Below are 22813 nucleotides of genomic sequence, written 5' to 3' on the forward strand. Positions count from 1 at the left end.
AATGTGGAAAAAGAAAATCAAAAGTGTTATAAAGGCTGCTTTGTGTATAGTTGATTATCTTTCTGAAACATTTCTGGCAATGAGATGGGGGTTCAGTGTCCTAGGAACCTTCCTAAAACATCCCTCCCTGTAGGCTGTTGGCCTCATGACAAAGCCTATGTCAGGGAAAGCCTCATCAGATGTGAAAATGTCCAGAGCACTCGTTAAGAGGACACAGCCTCCAGGGATATTGTTTTCAGCAACAAAGTCCCTGTGCCTCATCCTAACCATGGATTAAGGTAGGGTTTGTCTGCATGTGCTGTCAATTTACAGCCTCCTGAGACACGAAGGCGTCAGGTAGAGGCTGGCAAAGAAATAGCCATGGGCAAAGCCCAGTTTTACTTGTTTTTTGTTTAGTTTTTTTTTTTTTTTCTTCAGATAATGTTGACTGAGACCCAAAGCTTTATGCCTTGGAACATGGCTCTAGTAATTTGAACCAAGATAAATTCAATGATGTGTTAACACATTTCTGACATGGTCATTAAAATTTTTTTTCTCAATGAGGTCCCATAAGATATCTAACTTTAAACCATATAACTTCAAGGTGAATCCTACAAACTATAGTGATTGCAGACTGTGCCCTGGGTAAATAACTAAGCTTGCTGCTTAATATAGCTTTAAGATAGAAACCAATTAAATATTGGAGTAAGTAATTTGAAGTCATTGGTCTTGAACTCACAACTGTGATCACTGTGGCTTGAATATCTATGTTTCTTCCAAAATTTATGTTGAAACTTAATCCCCATTGTGGTGGTGTTAAGAGGTAGGGTCTTTTGGGGAGTGATTAAGTCATGAAGGTACCACCCACGTGAATAGGATTAGTGCTTTTAATAAAAAGCTCGAAGGAAGTAGTTTAGGCCCTTTTCGCCCTTTGACCTCCTACCACGTGAAGACACAAGAAAGCTCTCATTAAACATAGAATGCACATGCCTTGATCTTGGACTTCACAGCCTCCAGAACTGTGAGAAAGACATTTCTGTTCTTTATAAGCTACCTAGTCTATGGCATTTTGTTATAGCAGCATAAATGGATTAAGACTGTGCTGGTGATTTGAAAGTGGCATGTGACAATAAAATTTTGTTCTCAGTGTAGCAGTGAGCAAAGTCTTAGTCTGAATGGCAGGCCCAGTCTCAACAAAATCTGGATCCTCAGGGAGGATCATTTCAGCTCTGGAATATGCAGTGGTGTGACCACAGGCTGCCTTCCTTCATTGTGCTGATCCATTGTGCTGATCCAGCTTCCTAATCTATAAATGGATTTAGTAATACTCTTACTGAAAAGTCATTTCGAGGATAAAGTGTAATATATATTTAGTGTTCTTAGGATCTCTTCTGATGCATAACTATTACCATTATCCTGTTCTCCATGGTGGAATATGAGGCGATATATCCAGCTTTTTGAAAAGTAATATCAAATCATTGGGATTCAATATGACAACAAGGTCACCTAAAAATTATAAATATTCTTTACTTATTTTTCTTTTAAGAGTTTATCCTAAGTAATCAAGGAGAGGCAAATTGATTAAGCCATAGGATGTTTGTGTTTATAATATTTAAAAAATTAGAGACAATCCAATTGTTTAGAAATAAGTATTCATTGAAAATATTATTCATTGGAATATTTTATCATCCATTACATGTCATTATAAAATAATATCTAAAGGCAAGGGAGCATATTTAAAATCTATTACTGGCTGAGTGCAGCGTTTCATGCCTGTAATCGCTTGAGCTCAGGAGATTGAGAAACAGCAACTACTTCATGTAGCTTGGGATTTATAAAGAACTCACGTAGAAATAAGTTAAAATCAGTCTCCAGTGGTTTCTGACAGTGCTCTTGTCTGTGTGAAAACCAGGTTAACACTGGTCAAAAATTAAATGATCATAGGTCAACCTCAACCTCATGAAAAATACTGTCCTTAGAAACACGGCCATAGTCATTTTATTTTATATTTTGAGACAGAGTCTTGCTTTATCACTCAGGCTGGAGTGCAGTGGCACAAGCACAGCTGACTGCAGCCTCAACCTCCCAGGCTCAAGTGATCCTGCCACCTCAGCCTCCAGAGTAGCTGGTACTACAGGCATATTCCACCATGTCTGGCTAATTTTTTGATGTTCAGGCTGGTCTTGAACTCCTGGAGCCAAGCGATCTGCCCACTTCACCTGCCCAAAGTGCTGGGATTACAGGAATGAGCCACCGTGTTGGGCTGGCTAGACATTTTTAAAGGGTTGAATTTGCTGTTGAGTATGCTGGTTAGTCTAAAATCGGAAGGTAGAAGGGAAGGATGCCTTTTAAAAATGTGATTAGTCTCAGATAACTTATTTATTTATTCATTAATGTGCATATTTATTAAGCCTCCATTTACCTGGGGACTCTTCTAGGCTCTAGACAAGCTCCTTGATCATTACATTTTAGTTAAAAGGGAAGAAGGCAAGAAGAGAGCTGGTAAAGAAATCGATGAGTGTCTAAAATAAAGCAGGGGTAAAAACTAGGATGCACCTACACCTGGATATTGTCACAGGTGGTTTGTGTGGTCACAGAAGCCTGTCTAATGAGGAGACATTTGGACTAGCTGGAATTTCAGAAAGAAACCAATCCTGCAAAGATCTGCAGCAGAAGACTGTGGGCAAAGGGGCACCCAATATTCAGGCACTAACAGAACCTGCCAGATAAACTTACAAGTGTATTAGTCAGGGTTCTCTAGAGAAATGGAACCAAGCCAATGTATATATAGAGAGAGATTTATTTTGAGGAATTGGCTTAAATGATTGCAGGGGCTAAGTCTGAAGTTTTCAGGGCAGGCTGGCAGGCTGGAGAACCAGGGAAGGGTTGATGTTACAGCTCGAGTCTGAAGGCTATTTGGAGACAAAATTTCTTCTTTCTTGGGGAATCTCATTCTTTATTCTTAAGACTTTAAAATGCCTGTGAGACCAACCCACATTGTAGAGGGTAGTCTTCTGTATTTAGTCTATAGATTTAGATGTTAATCACATCTAAAAAATACCTTCACTGCAATATCTAGACTGGTGCTTGACCAAACATCTGGGCGCCATGGCCTAGCCAAAGTGACACACAAAATTAACCATCACAACGAAGCTTAGGCACAAATTGGCAATAGTTGGAGCCACCATGACCACTCTGCGTGCTCATCTCTGCTTTTCTGGTTATGACCTAACTATCCAGCTTCAGCTCCCATGGGCTTGGTCTTAGTCTTTGATGTGAGAACCTCGTGGAGTAGGAGCTATCTGAGGCTGACCCTCTCTGTGGGGTTTCCAGGTAGCTGTGCTTTTGTCTAAGACTGGGGTCTCACAGATTCTCAGCATATGCAGACTGAGTAGCGCCTCTGAGATGGGAGTTATCCTGGGCATCAACCTATGAACCTCCAGGGAGGCTTCCTCACTGGACTGGAATGCTGTGGGCATCATACATGTGCAGTCTCCCCTCTCTTTTGGGACTTCACATGGCAAGACACATTGGAATGAGGCAGTTACTGGAGGAACTAGGAAGTAGAAGATTTCAGAGGCCCTGAGCAAAAAGGGTATGAAGTAGGAATCTGATCAGTCAGGCCTAAGGCCACTGACTGGGTCACTGAAGTCACTATGGGTTAAAAGATCAGCATACTGGTGGAGACAGGCCAATATGTCTGTCCATCTTCCCCCAGAGCAGCAGTAACCTGGTCATAGCTCCTGCTGAAACCACCTTTGCAAAAATGAAAACTAAGGGAAGTATGACGGTGAAAGAGACAAGACCTATCCGACTCCATCATGCTTCTAACTTTTAAGCTGTCCTTGTTCATTCCTGGGAGTAGGCCAAACTAACTTTGGGAAGGAATTCAGTTCATGGTTTGACTCTGAAACAAAATTGATAACAGTCCTTTCCTGAAAAGACCCCCTTCTTGCTTGGGGACCAATCTGCCTTTTTAGGACTAACAAATTAGCTACAAGATTAGAAATTACAGTTTAGGGGTCACGCAGACCCTGGCTCCAAGAGTCTGAACCTCCCCAAATTGTTCCTGGGGATAACATCACTATTGTAAGACCTAAGATCAGTGCTTGAGATGTTTTGCAGACCCTGCACTAGATGGATCAGCTGATACCACCCAGGCCAGTAATCTGACTCAACCAGTTCTGCCAGCCCACCCAGGAACAGAAGACAGCAAGAAAACCTCACTTTGACTCTCTACGATTCCATCTCCAACCTGACCAATCAGCACTCCCCACTTCCCAAGCCCCTACCTGCCAAACTATCTTTAAAAACTCTGATCCTCAAATGCTCAGGGACACTAATTTGAGTAATAATAAAACTCCAGTATCCCACACATCCGGCTCTGCGTGAATTATTCTTTCTCCGTTGCAATTCCCCTGTCTTGATAAATTGGCTCTGTCAAGGCAATGGGCAAGGTGAACCCTTTGGATGGTTACACTGCCACCCTCCTCCCTCCAATCTTCTGAGTTTCTGAGCATAGAATGGACAAGGCTTATTCTGGAATGCTGGGGGTGGGGTGGATCAGAAAGAGGACATTCAGTGACTAGCCTCAGTCTAAGCCCACCTAGATCTAACTAGCTTCAGGACAAAGGGAAGTGCCATACTCCTGTCCAGTGTCAGGCAGTGTCAGGCAGAAGTTGGTGATAAAGGTTTATTTGCCATTTTATTTGTGCTTGAGATTCTCTTGGGGAAGTGTGGAGAATTTTTAGGACCTCATAGCTATAAAACTATTGTCTTAGTCTGTTTTCTGTTGCTATAACAGAATACCACAGCCTGGGTAATTTATAAACAACAGAAGTTTGTTTGGCTCACAGTTCTGGATGCTTGGAAATCTGAGAGCATGGCACTGCCATGTGATGAGGGTTCTACCATGGCAGAAGGGTGAAAGGGCACAGGAACATGTGAGACAGAGAGAGAAATGGGGCCAAACTCATCCTTTTATTAGGAGCCCACTCTTCAGGTGACTATCCCACTCCAATGATAATGGCATTAATTCAGAGCTCTTATGACCCAATCACTTTTTAAAGGTCTTACCTCTGAACACTGTTACAATGGCAATTAAATTTCAGCATGAGGTTTGGTGGTCACATTCAAACCACAGAAACCACTTAATAGAATTCCATTTCCTACATTAATTTTATTAGATATTCTCATATAAAACAAAGATAACATATTGAAAGTTGAACTAGCCTTGTAGCATATTAAACTTTAAATGAGTGATATACAAAATTACTTAACAAAATATCACCTGATATTTATAAAGCCTTGAACCATATTCTGCAATTATGGCATATAATTGTCTGGATTTCTGAGGAACATCTGTTTCTTTAAGCCACTGATGATTTAGGAGTCCTGTTAAAGAAAAGACAAACTTTGATTAAAGAGTTTCTCTGGAAACATAAAATATTTTACATGTATTCATAAGAATTTCCCTAAACATGAAGAATATGTATACTCTTAAGAATATCAGATCCTTGGGTGACATCATGGAAAATGGTGGAATAGTACACACAAAAAATCAGGCCTCCATGTAAACAATATAGCTAGTAAAGATTGACAGAATCAATTTTTTTTGGAACTCTGGAATCTAATCCAAAACCTACAGCAGCCAGATAACTAAGGATAGGGTGGCTAGTTTCTAGAAACAGAGCATGTGGCATTTTTCTTTACCTGACTACCATCTTCCATTTCTCAACCTGGTGGTGGCAGCTATAGGGACAGCATTTCACATTCCTTTAATATAGACTTTGTTCTTAAAATACCATGGTAATGTTTTTTGACTCATCTAGTGGTTCCCTGAGGGGCTGGCACAGAAGCTGACCTGTGTTTATTCCACGCCTATAGCTTTCTAGGAAGTGGCAATATCTATTGAAAGACTTCAAAGACATACTGCCGAAGCCCAACTGGGACAAAGGACAGTAGATGATGGAAGTGGCAGACAGACCCAACAGCCCATGAATAAAGAGGCAGTCTCTTTCTGGAAAAAGGGCTCAGAAGGACTGCTGCATCATATACTAGGAAGCAGAGAACGTAATGTGCATTTCTAGGACTGGACGCATGTTCATAAATGACCCCAAGAAGATACTGGGTTGCACCTCTGGTGGATCTGTAGATTGTGTATAAGCAGGAGATGAAGACTAAGGCAGAGTTTTAGGTGGCCTGGCTTAGTCTTGAAGGAGTGTCCCAGCTTAGAGCCAAGCTGCAAAGACTGAGAGAGTAATCTCTGTCTCTGTCTCTGTTTCTGTCTCTCTCTCACTCTCTCTCTGGATCCAGGAATTCAAGGAAATATGTGAGAAATCAGTGGCTAACCACTGAGATAGTGGAATAGCAAACATATACGACAAGAAATACAGTCTTCCAAAATAGTTTTGGGAGGCCGAGGTGGGTGGATCACAAGGTCAAGAGATCGAGACCATTCTGGCCAACATGGTGAAACCCCGTCTCTACTAAAAGTACAAAAATTAGCTGGGCGTGGTGGTGCTCACCTGTGGTCCCAGCTACTCGGGAGGCTGAGGCAGGAGAAATGCTTGAACCCAGGAGGTGGAGGTTGCAGTGAGCCAAGATCGCACCACTGCACTCCAGCCTGGCGACAGAGTGAGATTCCATCCCAAAAAAAAAAAAAAAGTTTGAAAATGTTACTAAACAAACAAGTGATTGCAGCCCTCAACATGCAACAGCAGGCAAACCCTGGGGAAGAGGGAAATCTGAATTCTAGAGTTATTACATTATAATATTAAAATGCTCAATTTGCAAAATCACATGGCATACGATGAAACAGGAAAGTATGGCACATTCAAAAAGAGAAAATGGCAGAAACCATCCCTGAGGAATCTGACATTGGAATTACGAGACAAAAACTTTATATCAGCTGTTCTACATATGTTCAAAAACTAAAGGAAACCATGGACAAAGAACTACAGGAAACCAGGAAGATTATGTATGGATAAAATGAGAATATTGATTAAAATAAATTATGAAAGAAACCAAATATAAACTCTGAAGCTGAAAGAGGAATAACTAAAATGAAGAACTTACTAGAAGGGCTCAACAGTTGATTTAAGCAGGCAGATGAAAGAATCAGTTAACTTAAAGATAGAGCTATGAAATTATTGAGTCTGTGAACAGAAAGAGAAAAGTGAAAAAGTGAACAGAGCCCAAGACACCCATCAGACACCATGAAGTGGATCAACATATGCATTGTGGCAGTCTCAGAAAGAGGAGAGAGAGAGAAAGGGGCAGAAAGAAATGAAGAAATAAATAAAACCTATGGGATACAGCAAAAGCAGTACTAAGAGGGAAGATTATAGTTGTAAGTGCCTATATTGAAAAAGAGGAAAAACATCCTATAAATGATGTAATGATGTACCTTAAAGAAATAGAAAAGCAAGAGCAAACCAACCCCAAAATGAGTAGAAGAAAAGAAATAATAAAGATCAGAGAAGAAATAAATAAAATGGAAATGAAGTAAACAATACAAAAGATCAATGGAACAAAGGTTTTTAGAAAAATTAAATGAAACTGACAAACCTTTAGCCAGATTAACAAAAAAGAGAAGATACAAATGAAATTAGAAATAATAAAGAAGACATCAAAACTGGTACTGCACAAATTTAAAGGATCATTACTAGCTACTATGAACAACTGTATGCCAATAAATTGGAAAATCTAGAAGAAATGGACAAATTACTAGACACATACAACCTACCAAGACTGAACCAGAAAGAAATTCAAAACCTGAACAGACCAATAAAAAGTAATGAGATCGAAGCCATAATAAAAAATCTCCCAGTAAAGAACAGCCCGGGACCCCATGGCTTCACTGCTGAATTCTATCACACATTTAAAGAAGAGCTAATACCAACCTTATGCAAACTATTCTGAAAAAGAGAGGAGGAGGGAATACTTCTAAACTCATTCTACAAGGCCAGTATTACCTTGATATGAAAACCAGACAAAGACACATCAAAAAAAAAAAAAAAAAAAAAAAAGAAAGAAAGAAAACTACAGGCCAATATCTCTAATGAATATTGATGCAAAAGCCCTTAACAAAATACCAGCAAACTGAATTCCATGATACATTAGAAAGATCATTCATCATGACTGAGTGGGATTTATCCCTGGGATGCAAGGATGGTTCAACATATGCAAATCAATCAATGTGATACACCATATCAATAGAATGAAAGATAAAAACCATGTAATGGTTTTCAACTGATGCTGAAAAGGCATTTGGATAAAATTCAACATCTCTCCATGATAAAAACCCTAAAAAAAACTGGGTATAGAAGGAACATACCTCAACGTAATAAAAGCCATGAATGACAGACAGATCCACAGCTGGTATCACACTGAATGGGAACAAACTGAAAGCCTTTCCTCAAAGACCTGGAACACGACAAGGTTGCTCACTTTCACCACTGCTATTCAACATAGTACTGGAAGTCCTAGCTAGAGCAACCAGACAAGAGAAAGAAATAAAAGGCATCCAAACTGCAATGAAAGAAGTTAAATTATCCTTGCTTGCTGATAATATGATTTTATATTAGGAAAAAAACTATTAGAACTGATAAATTCAGCAGTGTTGCAGGATACAAAGTCAATGTACAAAAATCAGTAGCATTTCTATATACAAACAGTGAACAATCTGAAAAATTAATAAAGTAATCTCATTTACAATAGCCACAAACAAAATCAAATACCTAGGAATTAACCAAAGAAGTGAAAGATCTCTACAACGAAAACTATAAAACATTGATGAAAGAAATTGAAGGAGAAACAAAAAGTAGATAGCTCATGTTCATGAATTAGAAGATCAATATTGCTAAATGTCCATACTACCCAAAGCAATCTACATATTCAATGCAATCCCTATCAAAATACCAATGACATTCTTCACAGAAATAGAAAAAAACAACCCTAAAATTTATATGGAACCACAAAAGACCCCAAATAGTCAAAGCTATTCTAAGCAAAAAGAAGAAAATTGGAGGAATCACATTACCTGACTTCAAATTATACTACAGAGCTTAGTAACCAAAACAGCAGGGTACTGGCATAAAAAGTGAGAGATAGGCTGATGAAACAGAATAGAGAACCCCTACAGAGAACTCATTTTCAACAAATGTGCCAAGAACATACGCTGGGGAAATCATAGTCTCTTCAATAAATGGTGCTGGGAAAACTAGATATTCATATGCAGAAGAATGAAACTAGACCCCTATCTCCTGCCATATACAAAAATCAAATCAAAATGGATTAAAGGCTTAAATCTAAGACTTTAGACTATGAAACAACTATAAGAAAACATTGGGGGACAATCTCCAGGTCATTGGTCTGGGCAAAAATTTCTTGAGCAGCACCCCACAAGCACAGGCAACAAAAGTAAAAATGGACAAATGGGATCACAGCTAAAAAGCTTCTGACAGCAAAGGATACAATCAACAAAGTGAAGAGACAACCCACAGAATGGGAGAAAATATTTACAAACTACCCATCTGACAAGGGATTAATAAGAAGAATATATAAGGAGCTCAAACAACTCTACAGAGAAAAAAAAAAAAAACAAACCTAAATAATCTGATAAAAAAATGGGCCAAAGATTCAAATAAACATCTCTCAAAAGAAGACACACAAATGGCAAACAGGCATATGAAAAGGTGCCAGTTTCATTGATTGTCAGAGAAATGAAAATCAACACTACAATGATATGTTATCTCACCTAAGTTAAAATGGCTTATACCCAAAAGATAGGCAATAACAAATGCTGGAGAGGATGTGGAGAGAGGAGAACTCTCATACACTGTTGGTGGGAATGTAAATTAGTACAACCACTCTGCAGGATAGTTTGGAGAATCTTCAAAAAATGATAAACACAGCTGATATATGATCCAGCAGTCCTACTGTTGGGCATATACCCAAGATAAAGGACATCAGTATATCAAAGAGATATCTGCGCTCCCATTTGTTGCAGCATTGTTCACAATAGCTAAGATTTGGAAGCAACCTAAGTGTCCATCAGCAGATAAATGGATAAAGAAAATGTACATATTCACAATGGTGTACTATGCGGCCATAAAAAAGAATGAGATAATGTCATTTGCAACAACATGGATGGAATTGGAGATCATTATGTTCAGTGAAATAAGCCATTCATAGAAAGACAAATATCACATGTTCTCAATTATTTGTGGGAGCTAAAAATTAAAAGAATTAAACTAATGAACATAGAGAGTAAAATGATGATTACCAGAAGCAGGTGAGGGTAGTGTCGAAGATGGAGGAGGTGAGGATGGTTAATAGGTACAAAAAATAGAAAGAATAAATAAGACGTACTATTTGACAACACAATGGGTGACTACAGTAAAAAATTACTTAATTGTACATTTTAAAATAACTAAAAGATTGTATTTGGATTGTTTGCAACACAAAGGATAAATGCTTGAGGGGATGGATACCCCATCCTTCATGATATGATTATTTCACATTGCATGCCTGTATCAAAACATCTCAGGTACCCCATAAGTATATATACTATGTACCCACAAAAAATTAAAAAATTTTAAATTTTAAATAAGAAAAAGAACATTTGAAGAAATAATGGCTGAAAAAGTTCCAAAGTTGATAAAAAGCCATGAATCTACACATCCAAGAAACTCAACAAACTTCAAGTAAGACAAACTTAAAAAGACTCATGCTGAAACCTATTATAATCAAACTGTTGAAAGACAAAAACACAGAGATAATCTTGAAAGCAGAAAGAGAGCAATGCCTTGTTATATAGAAGAAAGTCTTTGTTGGATTATCACCTGATTTTTTTCTTCAGAAACTATAGAGGCCAGAAGACAGTGGGATGACATATTTAAAGCGTTGAAAGAAAAAAAATTCTATATATGAGAAAACGATTCTCCCAACTGCAGAAAAAATTAACATATTCTAAGATAAAGAAAAGCTCATGGTGTCTCTATGACTAGACCAGCCCTTCAGGAAGTGCTAAAGGGATTCCTTCAGGCTGCAGTGAAAGGACATTAGAGAGTAACTCAATGCCGCATGAAGCAATCAAAATCTCCAGTAAAGGTAACAGAGAGGTAAATATGAAACCAGTATTATTGTTTTGGGTTTGTAACTCCTTCTTTTATTTCTTTCATAATTTAAAAGACAAATTTATAAAGCATAATTATAAATCTATGTTTATGGGTACCCAATGTGTAAAGATGTAATTTTTGACAACATAAAGAGGAGTAAATCCCAGTGAATACAGATCATAAGGAGGAAAAAAAAGAGGAGCAGAGCTGAATAGGAGCAGAGTATTTGCATTCTATTAAAGTTAATTTGGTATAAATTTAAACTATATTGTTATAAATGTAGGGTCTCAGTTGAAATCCCCATGGTAACCACTAAGAAAATATCTAAAAAACGTATACAAAATGAAACAGATCAGAATCAAAAGAGTGCACTACAACAAAGCAATTAAACACAAAAGAAGGCAGTAAAGAAGGAAATGAAGAACAAAAAAGGTATAAGATATAGATTTTCTAAAAAATAGAAAAATGGCAGAAGTAAGTCATTCCTTAGTAGTAATTAATGTAAATGAAAATGGATTAAACTTTCCAATCAAAAGGCAGAGGCTGGCAGAATGAATTTAAAAACATGATTCAACTATATGCTGCTTACAAGAGATTTACTTTAGAATCAAAACTGAAATTTATAAAACATGGCTGAAAGAAATTAAAGAAGACCTAAATAAATGGAAGGACAACTTGTGTTCATGAATTGGAAGATTTACTACTGCTAAGATGGCAACACTACCTAAAGCTGTCCACAGATTCAAAGTAATCTTTATCAAAATCCAAACAGCATGATACTGGATAATGATAGACATATAGACTAATGGGCTAGAATATCCAGAAATAAACCCATTCAACTATAGCCAATTCAGTTTTTGGAACAGAGGACAAGACATTCAAAGATTCCTATAGGGAAAGAGTAATATTTTTAGCAAATATTACTTTGGCTTTCCACATGCCAAAAAATGAAGTTGGATCCCTTGCATCATATACAAAAATGAACTCAAAATGGGTCAATTACCTAAATATTATAAGAGCTAAAACCAGAAAACTCTTTTAAAAAGGTTTGGCAATGGATGCTTCAATATGACACCCTCAAAATTACAAACCTTCGTGTATCAAAGAAAGTGCAAAGACAACCTAGAATGAAAGACAACCTAGAATGAAAGAAATGTTTTCAAGTGATATATCTGAGAAGGATTTGGTATCTAGAATATATTAAAAAACTCTTCCAACTCAACAACAAAAGGACAAACAACCTAATCAAAAATGAGCAAAAGACTTTAATGGACATGTCTCCAAGGAACACATACAAACGGTCAATAAGCACATAAAAAGATGCTTGACATCATTAGTCATTAGAGAAATCAAACCATGATGAAACATGACTTTTCATCCATCAGGTGGCTGTAATTTAAAAAAAAAGGAAAAAAATGATAGTGGAAATGTAGAGAAATTGGACTTCTTGTTTTAATCCATTTGTGTTGCTGTAAAGGAATATCTGAGGTTGGGTAATTTATAAAGAAAAGAGGTTTATTTGGCTCACAGTTCTATAGGCTGTACAAGAAGCATGGCACCAGCATCTACAACTGGTGAGGGTCTCCAGCTGCTTCCGCTCATGGTGGAAGGCAAAGGAGGAGCCAGCATGTGCAGAGATCACATGGTGAGAGAGGGAGCAAGAGAGAGCTGGGAGAAGTCAGGTTCTTTTTAACAATTAGCTCCCACAGGAACTAATAGAGTGACAACTCATTACTGTAAGGATGGAACCAAGTGATTCATGAGGAATCTGTCCTCATGACCCAAATGCCTTCCATTAGGCCCCCACCTGCAACACTGGGGTTCAAATTTCAACATGAGGTTTGGGAGGACAGATATCCAAACTATAGCAGTCCTCCTACACTGCTTGTGGGAATGTAAAATAGTGCAGCCATTGAGGAAAACAGTCTGGTGGTTCCTCCCCAGAAATCTCATTCCTATGTATATACTTGAAAGAATTGAGAACAGGTGTTCAAATAAGCACACATACACACTTATGCACAGCATCACTATTCACAATAGCCTAAAGATAAAAGCACTCTAAATGTCCATGAATAGATAAATGGATAAACAAAATGAGGTATATACATACAATGAAATATTATTTAGCTACAAAAAGGAATGAGGAACTGACACATGATAGGATATGGATGAACCTTAAAAACATTATGCTAAGTGAAAGAAGGCAGATAAGAAAGATCACATGCTATATGATCTTTTTTGTAACAATAACTGGGTTGAAACTTTTATTTTAATGGGAGATACATGCCTTAAGTTGTGAATATATTAAAGAACAATTTTCCAGTGTGCTAGGGGTGGTGGATGGTGATATTTCCCGATACGAAACTACAAACTGCACATTCTGCAGTAATTTATTTGGGAACTGTGTGATGAGCAAGAGTCTCTGGTTGTCAAAACCTCCCAAGTGGAGTCACCTAAATTTAGAAAAGGTAAAATGTATGTTTGCAATAAATATATTAGAAATTCTTAACTTTAAAGCAACATCTATGACTAAAAAATTTGCAAAAAGCAAACCACAATTCTAAAAGAAAAATCTCCTTTCTAAATTTTCTATTAAAAAGCCAGTATTACTCTTACAATCAGAAATAAAAAACAAACGAAAAAGCTTTGAGAATGTGCAGGTCACCTCCAGCACTTTCCGTGGCATTTATTTACAAATATGAGTCATTCCGTTGAGATCTCTCTCACCAGGCAGACATAACCTGTGGAATGGTTTTAAGGATCATTACTTAGGAAGACTTACCTACAAGAAGAAAAGTCAGTGTAAGCATTGTACTTAGAATAATCTTCCATGATCGAGTTACCCTAAAAGAATAAAAACAATGATTAGAAAAAGAATTTAACAACATCATGCATTTAACTTGGACTTTAGCCACTACACTCACGTCAACAAACTTACTTATTTTCATTCTTGCTTAATCTAGGTTGAGTCTATGAATTACTTTAATTTCCAATCCACTATTTTTTAAATTGAGAGAAGATCGTTTTAGTGATGATACACACTCACCAGCATATATGAGTGCGCATACATAGAGTCATGCCTCTTACTTTCACATATGCAATGCTTATGCTAGTATATGTCTATTTATATTCTTAAAATACTTATAAGAAAAAAACAAAGGCAGTTTTCTGGAGGTCTCAAATGTAGAACTAGCTACAAAAAAAGAAAAAAAAGAAAAATCAGGTTCTGATTTTATGGAAATTTTGTACTAAGCTAAAGAACTATGACAGTTAAGAAATATCTGATAAAATTCTTTAAAGCCACCATGACCTTTTTTCCTACTCTGTGTTGAAGTACAGTATGCTATACAAATACGATTTGTGCTCTTTTCTGTATAATTGTACAGACCAGTGATGCCTCACAGAATGAACACATCCATGAAACCTCACCCAGGACTGGAAATTGAGCATACTCAGTTCTGTGGACTGAATTGCACCCCACCCCCCAACACACACACACACACACACACACACACACATTCATTTGTTGAAGCCCTACCATCATTGTTACTGTATTTAGAGATAGGGTCTTTAATTGCTAATTAAGGGTAAAAGAGGTTATGAGTGGGACTCTAAACTAGCAGGATTGTTGTCCTTAGAAGAGGTGGAAGAGAGACCAGAACTTTTTCTCTCTTTGTGCAGTCAGAAGAAAGGTCACATGGGGACACAGTGAGAAGGCAATCCAGGAAGAGAGCCCTCGCTAGAGACCAAATCAGCTGGAACCTTGGACTTCCCAGCCTCCAAAACTGTTAAAAAAAGTAAATTTCTGTTGTTTCAGCCACCCAGTCTGTGGTATTTATTATTGCAGCCCGAGCAGATGAATATACCAAGCCCATCAGAAGCCCATCTTATGCCCTTATCAACCCTATACCTCCCACCTCCAAAGGTACCTGCTCTCCTGAGCTCTATCCCCATTAAGTAGGTTTGTCTGGGTTTGAACCATCTATAAATGGACCCATGTGGGTATGGGCTCTATCTGTCTGCCTCCTGTTCCCAGTCTTAAGTCTGTGAGAGTCAACTGTGCTGTTGTGTATAGTTGTGGTTCATTCATTCTTATAACTGTGTAGTATTTCATTGTGTGAATATATCATGTGGGTATCCATCCTAACATTGATGGGTGTTTGGGGCTATGATAAACAATGCAGTTATAAATATTACTACAAGCAATGCAGCTATGAACATTCTTGTACATGGTTTCTGATGAAGACAAGTATGTATTTCATTTAAGTGTATTTTCAAGAGAGACATTGATGGGTCATAGGATACATGCATAATCCGTTGCAGTAGATTTTGCTCAGTGTTACAAAGTGGTTGTAATGACAACCTTTTCACATCTAACCTTTTAAAAAGCCCTAAAGGGTGGATGGGGAGGGAAGCTAAAATGATCACATTAATCTAACGTGAAGGCTATAAACTTCCGGATAAAGTATTACAAGTTGGCAAACTAAAAATTTCTACTTAAAACATAAGAAAAATCACATTAAGATGGACCATTCATTAACTGTATTCACTAGAGTGGGCCGCCTAATTCTCCCAGTACAGAATCTTTAAGTAGCTTATCTACCCTACATAAAGCAGTCATACCTATTAGCCATCCAAGAGTGTGACAGTGTGGAAACCAACTAAGAAGAGAATTTTCTTAACTCTCTTCCCCTCCAGGGAAGTGTATTCTGGAACCTCTTCCTTTTAACTATTATTGGAGATGTGGAGAGTGGTAGGGGGTCCACTGTATTAAAAAAGTTGTTCATAGGTCAGTTATGGTCTACAAGAGCTCTTTTGGTGGGCTGCATTAAGTGAAAATTATCACATTACCATATTTACCAAAGATTAACTCCAGTGTTTTTCGTTTTTTGTTTTTCACTAGAAAACTGGCTGCCAGGCTCTGCATTGCAAAATTCCTTCGGTGCCTTCACCCAGCCAGTGGGATTCTGCCATTTGGGGCAAGCATATTTTGTTATTACTGTGATTTTGAAATGCTGCTCTACTTGTACTAATAACTTTGTAGCATTCCTTTTATTTTTATTGACAGTTTTGTTCTGTGCAAGTGCTTCATTGTTACCAATAGGAAGGTTATTTCATTACTTGTAGTTTTTGTTTTCCCAGCAGGCAGCACATGGGCAGGGCGTTTGTAAATAGGTTTAGGGTATTTGGATTCCCTGCTATAATAATCCCCACATATGTTCTCACTAGAGGAAACAGGGTGATTCACTCAAAATGTGCATCCCCTACCAGAGTCTTTAGTCAATTATCACCCAAGAATGTAATAAATGCCACTCTGTGCCCAGAGTCCTGAGCCCGGTGCTAAGCTCTGCATACCACCAAGACTATACAAGCTAGCCCAATGACAAAAAAAAAAAAAAAAAAAAAAAAAAAAAGTGAATTATCTGGAAGCTTTTAAGTTCCTGCTGCTGTGGCTCATTCTTTTAAAGAGGGTGGCTCTCCTTTCTTAATCCTTCTCCCAAGTCTGCTGTTATTAATCCAGATACCGTTGACATAGAAGTATTGTGATCAAGTGTAAGACTGTGATGAAGAGAAACCTTCAAAGGAAACTATTGAAAATGATTTTCTCTATAAAGGGAGAAAATACTGTCGGGTAACAGGTAACAGATGAACAGACACAAGTGACAGATGTAACACATAAAACCTACAATTTCAGGCACACCGTTCTGCCATGTTTACCTACCCATTCGCATCAGGATTTTCGTCCTCTGATAACAAAGCATTGCCACTGGCGCTACCGCTGGCGTCTTCAGAGCAACGTCTAAAAAACATGGCAGCCCTTCTTGCCTTTGTTTTTCCACTCATGATCCCCTACCAAAGAACAAACAGCTGGTAGGATGAAGAGCAACATTTGTCCTCATTCCTATTTTATGAAAAACATGAAGCTATACATACAGTTTCTAAATTTGTTTTGTATAATGTCTTCTTCCTCCACGGGTGTTTCTTCTTGAAGACGGAATTTTGAAAAGCTTCTGATTCTTCTGTTGCATCATCCTCCGTGACACCTCATAATGCAGATGGCCACCACGCCCAGCCAGGGCATGGACAGGCAACCACCTCTCTGCTTCAAGGGCCTAATTGTACCATATGTCACACCCACTGAATAATACAAAGGCCCCCCCATGTACCTACCGCTTTTCGATAGCAAATCTGGATGTTTTGCTGTGTTTGCTTCAGTGCTTTTCTAATAAAGAAAATATCAGAAATATAATAGTAGACCCCCAAGTATCCCTGAATCTCAGCACTCTTATTTTCCACAGATAACTACAACCTGAAAATTGATATACTCTATTCTCATTATTTTTGATACTTTACTATGTAAATCTGTATCTATAAATAATACCATTTTCATGCTTAAAACATAAACTAAATGTTATGCCACTCTAGGTTTTCTTACAATATTATTTATCTTGAGACATTAACTCCACTCATTTTAATTGCTCTATGGTATTTCATTATACATACATCACAATTCATTTACCCATCCTTCTGTAAATGTATGCTTAGGTTGTTTTCAGTTTTTTTGGCAAGGAATAATGCTCATTGCACGTTGTTATATGCACATCACAAGGTTTTTCTAAACATACACCTAGAAACAGAATAGTTAGGTGGAAGGATGAGCTGGTTTATTTGGGGCATAAATTCTACGATGACAGTCATTTCACTCTCAGCACTTTGGAGATACTACTCCATGGCCTTGTGGATTGATTGTTGTTGATGAGAATTCTGTCTTATCTTCATTTCTCTGTTTTTTTTGGCAATTTCTCGCGTAGTTTTTAAGATTTTCTGTTTATCCATATTTTCCAGTTGTATTTTAGTGTATCCAGGTTTGATACTAGTTTTTGTTTTTCCTCACTTATAACTCAGAGAGTCTTTTCAATTTGGGTACTTGTGTGTTTTTTCAGTTCTGGACTATTTTTCAGCCATCAGGGCTTCAAATATTGCTTCTCTGCCACTGCCTCAATTTTCTTAGAATGGTCCACCTATTGACACTTGTGTCTCCCTTTTGCTTTCCGTTCAACTGCTCCTTCATATTTGTTTTTGCTTTTTTCTCTTTTTACTTATGCTGATTTCTGGGTGAATTTGTAAGTGTTATTTTTCAATTTACTACTTATTTTCTGAAAGCTTAGATTTATACCAAGAAACCCCCAAGTTTCTACTTTTTTACCTACTAGTCCAAAATTCGAAAGTTACAAAATGGTACACAGCAAATATGGCCTTTCCACCCGGCATCTGCCTTCTAGCTATTGGTTCCCCTCTCTTTTAGCATCTATGCTACCATTTATAGTATTTCCTTTCAAAGATGTGATACACATGCACAGTATGTGACATTGTATTATATATGTAATATTTTATAGGTATATTTATCTCTCCACATTCCTAATGGTAGCTTACTATAAACTGTGCTCTGCATCTTGCTTCTTTCCCTTAAACATGTATCTTGGAAGTTGTTTTGATTGTTTGAGATAATCTTCCTCATTTATTTATGACTGAATAGTGTTTCATTGGGTGAATGGGCCATAGGCTATTTAGCCTGTCTCATATTGATGGGCAGTTTGGTATTTAAAATAATGTGCAATAGTAATCTTGTATTTAAGTTATTATCCATATGTGTGAATATATCTTTAAGGATATATACCCAGAGGAGGAACTTCTGGGTCAAAGTCTATGTGTATTTTTCAAGAATAAATCCGCACATATACAGCCAACTAATCATTGATAAGTTTGTCAGGTGTACACAATAAGGAAAGGACACTGTAGTCTCTTCAATGAATGGTGCTGGGAAAAGTAGATATTCACATGCAAAAGAATTAAATTGGACAGTTATCTTACACCATACCCAAATAATACCTTGAAATAGATAAAAGACTTAAACATAAGACCTCTAACCATAAAATTCCTAGAAGAAAACAAGGAAAAAATCTCCCTGACATTGGTCTTGACAATGACTTTTTAAATATGACATCAAAAGCACATGCAAAAATAAATAAGTGGAACCACATCAAACCAAAAACCAAAAAGCTTTTGCACAGCAAAGGAACTTAATAACAAGAAAACAAATAACTGAATTTAAAAGTTGGCAAAGGTCCTAAATAGACATTTTTTTCCAGAGAAGACATACACATTGCCAACAGGCATGTGAAAAGCTACTCAACATCATTAATCATCAGGGAAATGTAAATCAAAACAACAATGAGATATCACCTCACAGCTGTTAGGATGGCTATTATAAAAAAGATAAACAGCTAGTGTTGCACAAAGTGGTACACGCCTGTAATCCCAGCTACTCGGGATGCTGAGGCAGGAGGACTGCTTGAGCCCAGGAGTTTGAGACCAGCCTGGGCAACATAGCCAGACCCCATATTTTAAAGAAATTGTTAATCTTAAAACAAACAAACAAAAATATATAAAGATAAGTGTAGGCAAGAATGCAGAGAAAATGTAACCCTTGTATACTGTTGGTGGGATGTAAATTGGTATACTCATTATGAAAAACAGTATGGAAGTGCCTTAAAAAATTAAAAATAGAACTACCTTATGATTCAGCAATCCCACTTCTGGGTATATATATCCAAAGGAAATAAAATCAGTGTGTTGAAGAGATATTTGCACTTCCATGTTCATTGTATCACTATTTACAAGCCAAGATATAAAAACAACCCAAGTGTTTATTGATGGATGAATGAATGTGATTTATGCACACACACACACACACACACACACACACACACACACGGTGGGTGTGTGGTGGTGGTGGGGGGAGAGAAAGAGAATGGAATATTATTCAGCCATAAAAAGTAGGAAATTGTGTCATTTGTGTCCACATGAATGAGCCTGGAGAACATTATGCTAAGTGAAATAAACCAGACACAGATAGGTGAATACTGTATGATCTAATTTATATGTGGAGCCTAAAAAGTCAAATGTGTAGAAGCAAAGAGTAGAATGGGAGTTGCCAGTGGCTGATGGGCAGAGGGAGTGGGAATGGGGAGATGTTGGTCAAAAGGTGCAGAGCTTCAGTTACAAGAGGAATACATTCCAGGGATCGAATGTACAGCATGCTGACTACAGTTAGCAACATTGTATTGTATACTTGAAATGTATTGAGGGAGTAGATAGATCTCAAGTGTTCTTACCCCACATACGCATACACAAAGGTAACTAAGTGAGATGATGAATATGTCAATTAGCTTGATTGTAGTAATTATTTCACAACGTACATGTGTATAAAACCAACATGTACAACTGAAACATAGAAGTTTTGTTTGTTAATTATATCTCAATAAAGTTGGAAAAAATCCAAAATGTGTCTTTAAAAATTTCAACCAAAGAAAAAGGCCATTATTTTAACATGCAGAGCACTGCAGAGTCAAAGAAATCCAGTCTCTCTCCTGTGTGAAGAGAAGATGATCTTGTTTCTCCAATGAGGCTGAAAACCCAAACTGCTATAACATTGAAATACATAAATATATATCAAAAAAGGAAACCTTGTCTTTAAATTACTCAGATTATCAGAAAAAAGCACAAAATGTAAAAGCCCCTCCAGTTGGTGGAACCCTGGTGAGACTATGTTGTATGTTCTAGAGGGAAAGACTGAGCTCACAGAGGTGAAGGTTGGAGAGGGGAATTATACAAGGGCTTTCAGCTGCTTGAGATTGGAACAGACAGTAACAAGGCAGGGCAAAAGTGGGAGAGATGGAAAAGCACAAATGGAGGATGTGTCCTGAAAGTTTAAATAAACTAGCTTCAGCCAACAACATGGGTAAACCAACAGAGACCAGGCAGGAAGGAAGGGCCAGAGGGCTTTGAAAAATCAGAATTTGTACTCAAATACATTTTTCCTCTTCTCAAAATGCTCATAAGCAGGAGATTATCTGCATATCTACAAGTAAAGTGAAAAAATTAGGCATAAAGTGAAAATATATGTCAGAGAATGTTGGATCTTTCTAAATACTGAGGCCGATTATGTGGTAGAAAGATGATTATGTCATAAAGTATAGAAAATAAAAACATTGAGATATTCTTATTATAAATAAATTATTCTTGTATCATGTTTTAATTTCCATGGCATCATTACCTACATTCTTGTCTGATCTGGTTTGCAAATATTTGTAATTTCAATCACACTGCAAAAGTCAAAAGTTGGCTAGGTGTGGTGGCTCATGCCTAGAGCCCCAGTGCTTTGGGAGGCTGAGGCAGGAACATTCCTTGAGGCCAGGAGTTGGAGACCAGCCTGGGCAACATAGCAAGACCATTGTCTCTAAAAAAAATTTAAAAATTAGCTAGATGTGGTGCTGTGGGCCTGGACTCCTAATTACTCAGGAAGCTAAGGTGGGAGGATCTCCTGAGCTTAAGAGTTCAAAGCTTCGCTGAGCCATGATCACACTAATGCCTTTCAGCCTGGATGACAGAGCAATATCCTGTCTCAAAAAAAATAAAATAAAAATAAAATAAAAAGTTTCTTCTAAGGAATGATAACACTTCATTATCACTGAACTTATGATTTCAGCCAGTCAAGAAGGTTATCAACTTGGATGAATGCTGTACTTTTTTGTTAATCCAATGGAGAATAGAGATGCTCTTTGGTCATGACAGCTCCAGTTATTATGATCAATTAAAAAAAAAAGAATAACCTTCTTGACTAGGCACGGTGGCCCATGCCTGTAATCCCAGCACTTTGTGAGGCCGAGGCAGGTGGATCACGAGGTCAGGAGTATGAGACCAGCCTGGCCAACATGGCAAAACCCCATGTGTACTAAAAATACAAAAATTAGCCAGGCGTGGTAGCACGTGCCTGTAATCCCAGCTACACCGGAGGCTGAGACAGGAGAATTGCTTGAACCCAGGAGGTGGAGGTGGCAGTGAGCCAAGATCACCCCACTGCACTCCAGCCTGGGCGACAGAGCAAGAGCAAGGCTCTGTCTCTAAATAAATAAATAAACTTCTCTTGACCATACAATCCCGTAGCTAGAGGATGCTGTGACTTGCACAAACAAAAGCATTTGTCATGCTTGGCAATAACCTAAGAGCGTGTATATGCAGTGGAACAAACATTTGACATTGCAGTATGAAGTCTTGATTACTCATGACTGGACCACTGAAGATGCTTAGAATTCATTATGATATTATATTAGAGCAGGATAAACCACAGAATTAGAGTTAATTCCTGCACAAAAACTATCTTCTCTTTAACCAATTCTGATATTACCTGTCTCCTGCTAGATTTCTAAGGCTATACTCGTGTAACAGAAACAGACTCATGTTCAGTTCAAGTTGTCAAATACCCACCATTATGAAAAGTCTTGATTTAAAAAAAAATTTTCAACAAGAGAAAACCAAGGCTGCTAACTGTTGCTGCAGTCGTTGGAACAACAGGATTTCTTTGAATGTTCTCTGTATCAACTTATCCCCTCAAACTCTCACAAGCGGTTACCACCGGGTAAGTAGCCCTTATTATTTTTGCCAGGGTTGTATAGGGCTTTCTGGGTATCAAAAGTGTCTCCTACTGAACTGCGCCATAGCTGTTGGTGTCTATTGGCCTCACCAAGCATATGCCAGATAGATAATCTTCATTCCCATGAAGCACCATTGGTAATATACTCATTGTACTTTCTGTAGATCTCAAAATCCAGGCAGGCAACAAGTTTACACTTAAGCCAAGTGTTTGGAGT

At 37.7% G+C, this 22813-nt stretch overlaps 1 protein-coding gene across 6 annotated transcripts in view, besides 1 other annotated feature; it reads right to left on the bottom strand.

Annotated features, from left to right (window-relative positions):
• Positions 1 to 22813, bottom strand: part of SUN3 (Sad1 and UNC84 domain containing 3) — a 48755-nt gene that overhangs the window by 24845 nt on the left and 1097 nt on the right. For 2 of the 6 annotated variants that reach the window (NM_152782.4, XM_047420113.1), the window contains exons 1-4: positions 17037 to 17115; positions 16825 to 16952; positions 13885 to 13946; positions 5270 to 5373 (exon numbers count right to left, since the gene is read on the bottom strand). In NM_152782.4, coding sequence (NP_689995.3) covers positions 5270 to 5373; positions 13885 to 13946; positions 16825 to 16946 — 288 coding nt within the window. In that variant the 5' untranslated portion in view covers positions 16947 to 16952; positions 17037 to 17115. Of the gene's footprint in view, positions 1 to 5269; positions 5374 to 6506; positions 6605 to 13884; positions 13947 to 16824; positions 17116 to 22813 lie in introns of those variants that run through there. The other 4 variants (XM_017011930.2, XM_047420114.1, NM_001284350.2 and 1 more) reach the window with 3 other exon arrangements.
• Positions 16306 to 17505: an enhancer, noted in NCBI's record as "MED14-independent group 3 enhancer chr7:48067895-48069094 (GRCh37/hg19 assembly coordinates)". NCBI's record gives its function as "activates an origin of replication core promoter dependent on BRD2, BRD4, P300/CBP and CDK7 cofactors, and independent of MED14, by STARR-seq in HCT116 cells {active_cell/tissue: HCT116}" and the evidence as "EXISTENCE:reporter gene assay evidence [ECO:0000049][PMID:35650434]".

Source organism: Homo sapiens, chromosome 7 (genome assembly GCF_000001405.40).
Source record: "Homo sapiens chromosome 7, GRCh38.p14 Primary Assembly".
Lineage (NCBI taxonomy): Eukaryota > Metazoa > Chordata > Mammalia > Primates > Hominidae > Homo > Homo sapiens.